The 11,328-nt window shown below is 45.8% G+C and overlaps 1 protein-coding gene across 63 annotated transcripts in view, besides 1 other annotated feature; it reads right to left on the bottom strand.

Annotated features, from left to right (window-relative positions):
• The window catches only part of KANK1 (KN motif and ankyrin repeat domains 1), a 275,809-nt gene continuing 264,663 nt past the window's right edge, over positions 183–11,328 (bottom strand). For 61 of the 63 annotated variants that reach the window (XM_047423041.1, XM_047423067.1, XM_047423060.1 and 58 more), the window contains 5 exons: positions 7,782–8,001; positions 5,352–5,494; positions 3,881–4,081; positions 1,697–1,795; positions 183–1,113 (listed from right to left, as the gene is read on the bottom strand). In XM_047423041.1, the coding sequence (XP_047278997.1) occupies positions 1,051–1,113; positions 1,697–1,795; positions 3,881–4,081; positions 5,352–5,494; positions 7,782–8,001 (726 nt within the window). In that variant the 3' untranslated portion in view covers positions 183–1,050. Of the gene's footprint in view, positions 1,114–1,696; positions 1,796–3,880; positions 4,082–5,351; positions 5,495–7,781; positions 8,002–9,728; positions 9,935–11,328 lie in introns of those variants that run through there. The other 2 variants (NR_148869.2, XM_047423079.1) reach the window with 2 other exon arrangements.
• Positions 7,198–8,397: an enhancer, noted in NCBI's record as "MED14-independent group 3 enhancer chr9:737889-739088 (GRCh37/hg19 assembly coordinates)". NCBI's record gives its function as "activates an origin of replication core promoter dependent on BRD2, BRD4, P300/CBP and CDK7 cofactors, and independent of MED14, by STARR-seq in HCT116 cells {active_cell/tissue: HCT116}" and the evidence as "EXISTENCE:reporter gene assay evidence [ECO:0000049][PMID:35650434]".

The following is an 11,328-nucleotide window of genomic DNA, read 5'->3' as shown; positions in this document are numbered from 1 at the left end:
CTGAGTCAGGAGCCAAGCTGTGCAAGTGGACAAGCGCCCTCGGAAGATGCTGTCTCCCTGTCGGAGCCAACTGGCGCACTCACCCTCCCTGCTCAGCTCAATCCATCAGCGTGTGCTGCCACTGCCGTAAGTCAATCGGCTCGGGGCGGACAGCTATCAGAGATGAAACAGGGACAAGGAAAAGAGCTTAATGGAATTTTATTTTGAAAATATGGCAAGAGTCTAAGGCACTTCAAACATTTAAATACATAGAGGACCAAAGTAAATGTGACACGGTAAAAAGGAATCCATAAATACAAAGAGAACACTGTGTTTCTCTAGAGGCAAATACAGAGCCGATTCCTCTAACACAATCCAACCTTTAGCATTGGAGTTGTGCAATTAATACAAATGATGATGTTACGTGTAGTTCTTCATGGCTTTAGTATGGAATACAAAAGCTGAAAATACTGTGTCAAGTTCATATAGATACCCTTTTTATAAAAAGTCATATATTACATCTACCTAGTTAAGACCAAATGAGAATATTCTTTTGTAAGTTTTATACTTTGTCTGGCCCAGGCCCAAGTTACCAATGATCAAAGTCATCTCGACTTCCTTATTTTAAAATAAGACAAAAGAAAAATCCAAAACTATGCTGGAATGAGATTTTGGAAGAACTTTCTAATGGTTCCACATTTAGTACATATAAATATTTGTGGAAAAATCTTAAAACGTCTCAGTGAGAACCAGACACCACTTTGTGGGAGTGAACAGAAGGTGCCCCTTCAGATCAGAATTCCCTGTGACTGTACAAAACGGAGCAGAGACTCAACAGCAACAGAGACTGGGTTAAAGTGTGCCCTACACAGAAGACGGCCAGAAAGGAGGTGTGTGTGCCCAGGCTAGCAGTCTCTGCACTGTGAAAGCTTCAGCCTTTACCCCTGGGCTTGATGCTTCTGTTTGCTGGTGAGCTCAGGCACAATACGTATACATTCAGTATCTGTCACCCCAACAGGAACAATTAGCAGCTTAATAGTGGCATGTAAATAAAGGGCTATTTGCATACAATCAATCAAATGAACCTCGGTGGGTGGGGCCAGGAGACGTCTTCCTTCCAAGCCTAGGGGTGCCCTAGAGACCAGGAAAGGAAAAAAACTGGGGGTTAATAAGTGACCTCAGGCAGATGTGTACCCTGTGACATAGGATCTTGGCCCACCACAGGCAACAAGCAGCTGTGAGCCCGAGCCAGGAGAGCTCTGGCTGAGAACAGGGAACAGGTGTCCACAGCTCCAAGGCCAGCTGGGCTCAGCAGTGCTATGTCCGGCTGTCCTGGGAAGTCACCTTCCCACTCAGAGTGAACTGTGGACTACAGGCTGCCTGCCATCTGCTTCAGGAACAATGCCAGAACCATGGCGAAATATCCCCATGGGCTCAGGGGCTGCTATCTGGATAATTCTGCACAGAATCAAAACCTCTATGGGAAGCTGTGAGCATATGTCTTGCAAGGACAAGCAAGGTCCAGCCTCTGCTAAAACATTAGTTCTCCTGCTTTTTGCGGGGTGGAGGCGGAAAGGATGAACTCTTAAGCTCCAGACTAAAACTTCCATTTTCTGAATCAACATAAAATCTGTCTCCCGTCAATTCCTGGAGGAAGGGGGTCCACCAGTCTGGTGGATTTCAGCCTATTTACAAATGCCAAATGCACAACACTGACCGGAGACTGGGCTTTTGCAAAGTTGACATGGGCATACAGAAGAACAGCGATGTCCTTGTGTCCTGCTTCCAGGGCGATTGAGAGCGCAGTGCTGCCATCCTTAAGATAAGATGGAAAGAACAAGCCATGTTGGGTTTCTCAAACCTCCAGACAACCGAAAGGTAACAGAACAAAACACCCTCCAATAATTGGCAAGGTTCCCCAAATATCCCTACTCGTTCGGTCTTCTGGGAAACTTTTTTGGGACCTCTAAGGGTGAAGGCCTGAGGATGTGAAGATGAATGAGGCAAGCCTCCACCCTCCAGAGGTCCCAGTTAAGAGGATTATCTTACTCAACCATTCTGCCCACCAGGAGGGGGAAGCAGAAGATGGGGATAGAAAGTTTTTTTTTCTTCTAATTAATTATGAATGACCAGGCAAGCAGCAGTAGTGTGTGTTTAGAGACTCTGCAATTTGCCAAAGATCTTTTACCTTTCCTCTTAGAGAGGGCACTGTGATCCTAAAACCCTAAACCACCTCGGTTTAAGGCTACAAGTAACATCTGTGTGTAAGCACGCAATCCCAGTGGGTTGCACAGATCCAACTTCTGGAAATAAGAGGGGAAACACTACATATGGGTGAAAAAAGCTTCACTTAACTGCTTGATTTCCATTAAATTTCAGGGATTTAAATGGATATAAAGGAGTATCAAGGGAAAGAACAACACAACTTGTCTTCTGTCTAGTGTGTTTTTTGAGACAGGGTTTGTCTCCCAGGCTGCAGTGCAGTGGCACGATCACAGATCACGGTAGCCTTGACCTCCAGGGCTCAAGTGATTCTCCTGCCTCAACCACCACGGTATCTGAGACTACAGGTGCATACCACCACACCTAGATAATTTTTTTTTTGTAGAGATGGGAGTCTCACTATGTTGCCCAGGCTGGTCTTGAACTCCTGGGCTCGAGCGATCCTCCTGTCTCAGCCTCCCAAGGTGCTGGAATTACAGGAGTGACCCACTGTGCCCAGCCTATCTAGTCTTGAAATACGGATTTCCCTCTGGTCAGCAGCAGCAGCAGGACACAGTTCTCTTTGGTTTAATCTTATGATCCTTCCCCTCAAAAGCTTTGAAAGATAATAGAAGTAAAATCAAACAAAAACCACAGCACAGCTAACAAACTCTTCTGGAAGAAAGAAGTCGGTCAGAAGCTCTCCCTCCCACAGAGGGGAAGAAGGGAATCTGCTACAGCTGCAGCTTCCATGTGCTCCTGTGGAGATGGCTGAGTGTGAAGCTAGTCAGTCCCTCATACCAGTGAAAAACTCCGCTGGTTTTTCTCCCTACTGGCTTGGGCCCAGAAGAATCTGACCTACAAAGGATATTTTCCTAACTTTTTGGTGTTTTGAGCTAAAGAAGCTCTGATCCAAACCTGTGATCCACAGAGATAAACTTTCAAAAACGGAACCAAGCCAACCCGACCTCTGTGACCTTTACACCATCTCACTGCCTACATGCCAGTTCCTACCTTCTACCTATCACCACTCCTGTCCTTTGGCCTAGAGACACGCAAAAGTACCCCCTTTGGTTGAGTTTCCCGGTCAAGGAGTTATCTGGAAATGTGGACAGCCTGGGAACTGGGAGAAGAGAGCAGAGTGGTGTTGATGGGACAGACTAAGCAGAAATGGGAAAACGCTTCAAGAAGTCAAGCTACTCTGCAGGCTCTGGCATATGTTGTGTCACAAGCTACTCACTTTGATGGGTCAGTGTGTTCACTTTGGGTGGAAAAGGTTCACTATAGTAGGAACTGGTTTTAGTCACCGTGTAACCCCAGCCTCTAATGATAATCCAGATTTCCAAGTGCACCTGTCAGAAGTCACCTACACTGAATTTGATTCTGCAGTGCAAATCCATTGATTTCCCTTTAGTAGAGGGGCTCTTGGACATGCCCGTTAAATCACTTTTTCATTTCATGAATTTTTGGGGTAGGGCCTATTTATTCTGCTTTGGGTACTAGTTTATGAGCGTGTTAGTTTGCACACACACAGTAAGTGTAGCCAAGCTTGGCTGTGAAGGGAGGCACCTAGATGGCGACACAAATCCCAGAGGAGAATAGAGGAGGATTTGGTCGCTCCTGGCCAAAAGGCACTCCCAGAGCTCCCGTCCAGAGTCCCCCAGACCCCTGGCCAGGAGGCCCAATGGAGACAGCTTACGTTGTCCTCTAGGTGACCGTTGCAGCCGGGCTGGGCCAGCAGCAGCTTGACAATCTCCACGTGTCCGTGCTCGCTGGCACACATGAGGGCCGTGGAGCCCTCGTCATCCTGGATGTTGACATCAGCCCCACAGGCCAGAAGGCCCTTCACCATGTCTATCCGTCCGTGACTGACCGCCAGCATGAGGGCCGTCTGTCCCGCCTATGGGAAGAGATGACAAGGACTTCAGAAGTACGTACTGAGCTGGCAGTGGTGGCCTCTAGTGGGGCTGTGCTAGGGAAAGGGGGAAGAGTGTGGTGACAGAAGGGAAAGAACTGGCGATGGAACTACTTGGGGCAGGTGGTGGCAAGCAGGGAGAAACCAGCTTCCCATGAGCTATGAGCAAAGGAAGGGCATAAAGTAAGGAGCCAACTTCATTTTAGCGTGGAGGATGTCTCAGTAGAGTAAGGGGCTGGAAGTTCAGGTGGTGGTTAAAAGTCAAGCTGTGGGCCTGGAGTGGTGGGTCACGCCTGTAACCCTAGCACTTTGGGAGGCTGAGGCAGGCAGATTGTCTGAGCTCAGGAGTTCAAGAGCAGCTTGGGCAACACTGAAACCCCATCTCTACTTAAAAAAAAGCCAGGGGCTGGCGCAGTAGCTCACGCCTGTAATCCCAGCACTTCAGGAGGCTGAGTCAGGTGGATCATGAGGTCAGGAGATCAAGACCATCCTGGCTAACACGGTGAAACCTTGTCTCTACTAAAAATACAAAAAATAAGCCGGACGTGGGGGTGGGCGCCTGTAGTCCCAGCTACTTGGGAGGCTGAGGCAGGAGAATGGTGTGAACCCGGGAGGCAGAGCTTCCAGTGAGCCAAGATCGCACCACTGCACTCCAGCCTGGGTGACAGAATGAGACTTAGTCTCAAAAAAAAAAAAAAAAAAGCCAGGTGTGGTGGTGTGTGCCTGTTAGTCCCTGCTACTCGGGAGGCTAAGGCAGGAGAATCACTGCAACCAGGGAGCCGGGGGTGGTTGCAGTGAGCCAAGATCCCGCCACTGCACTCCAGCCTGGGGGACAGAGCAAGACCGTCTCTTAAAAAAAAAAAAGTCAAGCTGTGAACACATCTGGACCTGGGACACTGTTTGCTATGAAGACAGTACAACACAGAGACAGGAAGCAACAGTCACTGAGCATCTGATGGGGATGCGCAATCATTTATATGTAGGGGAACTAACAGTATTTCCATGCAAACTATGCAAATGGACAAAAGGCAAGGCAAAGGAGGGAGAAGTTTCCAGTGTGAAATTTAAGCCCATATTTCCCTGGTATGTTTGGTCAGCAAGGAGTGCCAGGCAGTGTATGGACTCAGGGCAGGCCTGCAAACAAGTGCACTGTGGTGGAAGCGTGGCATCTATGCCTGCTCTGCCAGAATGGCCACCGCAGTCCTGTCTGCTGGTTACGGGTGCATTCCTGAGCACAGGAACCAGGCGCACTAACCTGACTAGCTTTGGCATTCACATCCCCACAGCCGAAGAGTTCTTCCACAATCCGCATGTCCTTCTCTGCTTCCACAGCGGCGAGGGCCGCCAACATGATGGGGGTGTAGCCTGCCTTGTTCTGGTGATCCACATTACACACATCTGTAAAAAAAAAAAAAAAAAAGTCTCTTAGGAAGCAGCCCCTTCTAATAGCAGCCGCTTACGAAGCCACTGAAGGGATGGTGTTTACAGGAGCCCAGTGAAATGGTACCAGGTGGCTGGAGACCAAGAGTGACTTAGAAGGAAATGTGAGAGATGTTTTCATACTAAACCAAAAACTTTTTTTCCCCCTATTTCACGACACCTGAAGCAAGAGAAACAACGGTAAGCTTCCACAGCGTATCTTGTTTGCAACTGGTGGCTGAAATGCAATGGCTTGGAAGTCAGGGTGGTTGTTCTACTGGTTGCTCTTGAGAATAAACGATTTTTGGAATCTAGGCACTCAGCTGTGTTTAGGAAAGTGAAGCAGGTAGTGAGCTATTCATGAACGAAGTGTTTGCAAACGCTTACGTATGGAACGTTGGACAGGGTGGTACCTACTTATCCAAACATTACTCATTCTGAGACTCTGAATTTACTACTCTGGCCTGTCGGGGGTCCTGAAAAGCAGAATTCCAATCATATAACATCCAGCTCCAGAATTTATGGTCGAGAACAAATGCAGTTAAGTCCCCTTAACAGAATCGATGAACCAGACCTTTTCTATTCTTGTAATTCTTAAGGAGTCTTCAGGGATAAAATTATCCTTCGGGCATTTAAAAGTTCCTTCGGCACTTTCTCTGAAATGACCGGAATGGTGAGTGTTAGAAAGCAGCTTTTATGTGGGACCAAATATGAAGTTAAAATGTTCAGAATGTTTCTATCATAAAGGAAAATAAAAGGTACCATGAACATTTACCTTAAGATCCCAAACAACTCCATACTAAGGACATGTTTTTAAAAGTGGGTGTTTTTAATGCAGAAAATAAAAGGCCCTGTGGAGGAGAAGCAGGTGAATTCGTGTGCGCTTCGGGGCTCCTTAGCACCTCGGACTTTGCGGACTCTGCTCTGCATAGATGCTGAAGCATCCTAGATCTACACCTTATGGAGCCAGAATCTCAGCCTAGAAGGGGGAGCAGTAACCATTAAGATAAGTGATTAACCCAAACCATCCAGCAATGGAATTAAAATTATTTAATTTGCCAAGATGTTTTATCAACTTCTAAGGGTATACTAAGCTGTTCCTGTCAGGAGTGATAGTGAAATCTTGTTTTCAGCTTCCCTGGATATTATCTACTTCTGTTTAAACAATCACTCTGGCTGACTGTATCACCAGCTCTGTTTATAGTCTAGAAAGCCTGAAGAGGAGGGGCTTGAAATTCCTTCCTGTAAGATGGAAGCAGTTATACCCTAACATGGCTCCAAAAAGAGGGAACAAACACACTTATAAGAGAAAGGAAGGATAAATCTGCTTGGCTTTCTTCTCTGCATCAATTCCAAGTTCCCAAAACAGAGCAGAAGAGATTGGACAGTGGATGAAGACAGAATTTCAGAAAATTGGACAGTATGATTGCATATTCTAAGGTTCACACTACATCCTCATTAATCAGACTGAGATACTCTGACTTCTCTGTCACATACTAGAAATAAAAATATGTATTACAAAAATTAAAAGACTTGGGGTCTATGTGGCATCAGGCTGCTCCATTTGAACAAGAAGTTGAAAGCTCACAGTTTCTTGAGGGTACCATCTGTGTATGTGCCCCTCCCTCACTTCATGTCTAAGATGTCCACTGGCTCTATTCTGGGATAACAAGTTTCTACTATTCTATTATGGTTGAGAGACAAGAATAACATGCCCTTTGCTCTATGCTGTTTCCCCAATAACAGTATATTTTGGTGAGAATGGTGATCATTTGACCATCTGTTAAGGTGGCTTTGCTTAGTCCCCATCTTGACTAACCACACACTTCTGCAAGGACAGCAGTCATGGAGTAAGGTCAAATCAAGTGGTCCACACGCACCAAGGCTGTGACCCTGGGCCTGTAAGCAGCACTCTGCCTCCTGAGTGCAAACCGGCCAAGCCCGCATGATTCAGCTCAGGAGGGAACGTGAGACATGCTTCTTACCAGGCATACACCTCTCACTTTTGAATGCAGCTGAACTGCAGCAAGAAGATCCTCAAAACCTCCTTTCAAAAACAGATCTAGAATCTGTGTCACCCAGTTTTGTTTAAACTTCAAGCCTCTTATGAATGACTCAAGAAAATTCTTGCCATGTCATGTGGAAAAGCAATAAAAAGGATTTTAGCATGGTCAGAGAATTCAGGAGTGGCTCAACCAGGTTCTCTGAGATGAGTCACAACCCAAGTACTGTTAGAGAAGAGAGGGTGGAAGGGCAGCCAACATACCGGCATCTAACAGCAGCTTCACAATCTCGAAGTTGGAGTGGGACACGCTGTAATGGAGGGCTGTGTTGCCGTTGCCGTCTGCCAAGTTGATGACATAGCGGAGGACATCTGGGGAAATGGCCTCAAAAGCAGCTATGTAGTCCCCCACCATGGCTGGAATGGCTGACTTCTGACTGGACACGCGGAACCACTCGTGCTGGAGGGTGTTCAGACAGAACCTCTGCCAAAACACCAAGTGGTCGTTAGTTCTTCTATTTATAGACTTTCTGAGACCTAGTTGAAAGCACAAGTAACCTGTCCTTTTATAGTCAAAGTATATATATGCAGTTAGAATCTGCTCTCAAAAACCAACAGCCCTAAGAGAAGCTTCAAACACCAAACTGGGACATTTCTCCTGATTTTAAATGACGTGTAGATTCTAATGTCTATAAAGGAGACCAGACAGCACCATGCAGAAGCAGAGGCTCTGGAGCCAGACCACTGAGTTTCAAATGCAGGCTCTGCTACCTAAAAGCTTTATGACCCGAGGGAAGTTATTCTGCTTCCGTTTCCTCATCTGAAAAACTGGATAATACCATGCTTTCATAGTTTCTGTGATGAGAATAAACACTCAGGCTTGGCTCCATTTATTAAGCTATTAATATGATGTAATCATACTGGCCTTGCAAACAATTTTCATAGAAATTAGGAAGAAATTAACTAGCCTACACTGAATTATGCTGCTTCCTTCCTATCCAGACCAAACTCACCTCCTTCAACTCCTCAGCACAGCACTAGGTTGGGAGACCGTACGTGTATAGCCAACCCAATTCCCACCCCAATCCCAAATACAACTGTTCAACCACGGAAAGGGAAAATAAAAGGGAACCCCGTCTGGAACTAATTTCATTCTCTCATCAGCTCCACTCTGACTTCCTTAGGCTGTGGACACATGAAGAAGGCACTTGCTTTGTGGATGATCAACTCAACCCTGGGTCACATGAAGCTCAGTGGAGACTGAGCAGTCAGTACTGGTGATGAGGATGACTACAGTGTCTTTTCAATGGGCCTTCATATGAGTTTAATATTCATTTCTGCTGTGCTTACTCTTTAAAAGTTTAAAAATATATCAAAGAAAGACAGCCTATGTCAGAAGCACCAGAACCCAAGAAGTCCTCTTTCTGTAGAAAAGGTAGAGTTGGGATTATAGAGCTTCCATCTCTTTATCATCCTGCTACTGATTATTTAGTTTTAACCATTTCAATCACATTTTGGGTCACTTGAAGAGTGTCCTTTTTTTTCTGTATATATTCACATTCCTGTTTCTCTGGAGTTGTCACACTGAAAGAAGGGAAATTATGTCTTCTGGTCATTCTAATTCTATTACTGCTAAATAACTGGTGTCCTGACATGATTATCTAGCCCTGGCATTGTGTTTACTCGTCCACTACTTTTCACAACACAATACTTTAAACACTTTCACACCAAATGAAAATTCAGTTAAAAAGATGTACCCATCACAGTGTGTGTGGATGACACCATGCTCGGCAATTTGGAGGATGCAGGAAAACAGAATCCTTCCCAAAGGCCACGTAACCTAGTATTTTGAGAACAGTGAAAGAAAAGTGTACTATGGCTATAAAATCTGGGGTTGTAAGGCACCAGTTTTAAGTTTAGGTTAAACCTGATGGGAAATACTGACCCTGCAGTGAGATTTTATGGTTTTACTAGTGACCAGGGTATAGCCAGGTATTTTCATGAATACAAATCCAAGAATTTCAATATGTAGTTCTATGTTTCCCCTTGACTAGGAATTTTTTTTTTTTTTGAGAGGGTGTCACTCTGTCTCCCAGGCTGGAGTGCAGTGGCATGATGATGGAGCACTGCAGCCTGAACTTCCTGGGCCTCCAGCTATCTTCTTGCCTCAGCCTCCCAAGTAGCTAGGACCATGGGTACATGCCATCATACCTGGCTAATTTTTGTAGAGACAGGGTTTTGCCATGTTGCCCAGGCTGGTCTCAAACTGAACTCCTGGGCTCAAGTGATCCACTGCCTTGGCCTCTCAAAGTGCTGGGATTACAGGTGTGAGCCACTGTGCCTGGACTTGACCAGCAATTTTATTTAGTACAGCTGGCCCTCTGTATCTACAGGTTCCATTTCCATAGATTCAACCACTGGCAGAGTGAAAATATTTAAAAAATATGTAATACAAAACAATACAGTATAACAACTATTTATATAGCATTTACATTGTGTTAAGTTTTTGAGGCCAGGCGCGGTGGGTCATGCCTGTAAATCCCAGCACTTTGGGAGGCCAAGATGGGCGGACCACGAGGTCAGGAGATCGAGACCATCCTGACTAACACGGTGAAACCCGGTCTCTACTAAAAATACAAAAAAATTAGCCGGGCGTTGTGGTGGACGCCGGTAGTCCCAGCTACTGGGGAGGGTGAGGCAGGAGAATGGCCCGAACCCGGGAGGCGGAGCTTGCAGTGAGCCGAGATCACGCCACTGCACTCCAGGCTTTTTTTCAGATGGAGTCTCACTCTGTCACCCAGGCTTGAGTGCAGAGGTGCAATCTTGGCTCACTGCAACCACCACCTCCCGGGTGCAAGCAATTCTCCAGCCTCAGACTCCCGAGTAACTGGGATTACACGGGTGTACCACCATGCCTGGCTAACTTTTTGTATTTTTAGTAGAGAAAGGGTTTCACCATGTTGGCTAAGCTCGTCTCGAACTCCAGACCTCATGTGATCCACCTGCATCGGCCTCCCGAAGTGTTGGGATCATAGGTGTCAGCCACTGCACCTGGCCCTGTATTAGGTATTATGATATAGAAATGATTTAAAATATATGGCAGAATTTAAAGTAGATGCATAGTTTATATGCAAATACTACACCATTTTACATAAGGGACTTGAGTATCTGTGCATTTCGGTATCCTTAGGGGATCCTACATTTTCTCAATGCACTAATAAAAAAGACAGCTGTCAACCAGGGGGTTAGTCTGGCCTATGAAAGAATGTGCACATAACTTCGACACATGAGAATATGTCATTCTTGGCCATGGTGTCACATTAACCATTGCCATAGAAATACTTGTGTCCTATGTTGTACCATTCATGATCACTAAGGCAACCACAAACTCTTTGCTGTTTGCTCTGAATTTCTTAGACTGCGAGATGACAAGTGCGGTTATTTTTATGTTTAAAAATAGTGGCCGCCTGCATTCCACATCAGAGCATAACATACAGTTTCATAACTGAAAGGAATGCTGACCTTGGCTCAGATAGGTTTCTTTTAAAAACATATGCTAACTTAAAAAAAAAATTCTTGGATGCTGCTCCCTGGATCTTACTGTTCTATAAATAGAAATGAAATATGTAGAAAGATGACGACTGACTGCAATTAGCCCTGCTTTCTGTCTGCAAGTGTACGCCTCACAGATGCCTCCACCCCAGGAAAAGTCCAGGGTGGGTAAAGGATGTCCGAAGTTGGGCCTCAAGGAAACGCTGGCAGTGTGATCCAGGGAGCAAGACCACATGATGTTTACCCAGCCCACTCATGC

The sequence above is a fragment of the Homo sapiens genome, chromosome 9, assembly GCF_000001405.40.
Source record: "Homo sapiens chromosome 9, GRCh38.p14 Primary Assembly".
NCBI classification, from domain to species: domain Eukaryota; kingdom Metazoa; phylum Chordata; class Mammalia; order Primates; family Hominidae; genus Homo; species Homo sapiens.
This window is presented reverse-complemented; position numbering and strand designations above follow the sequence as displayed.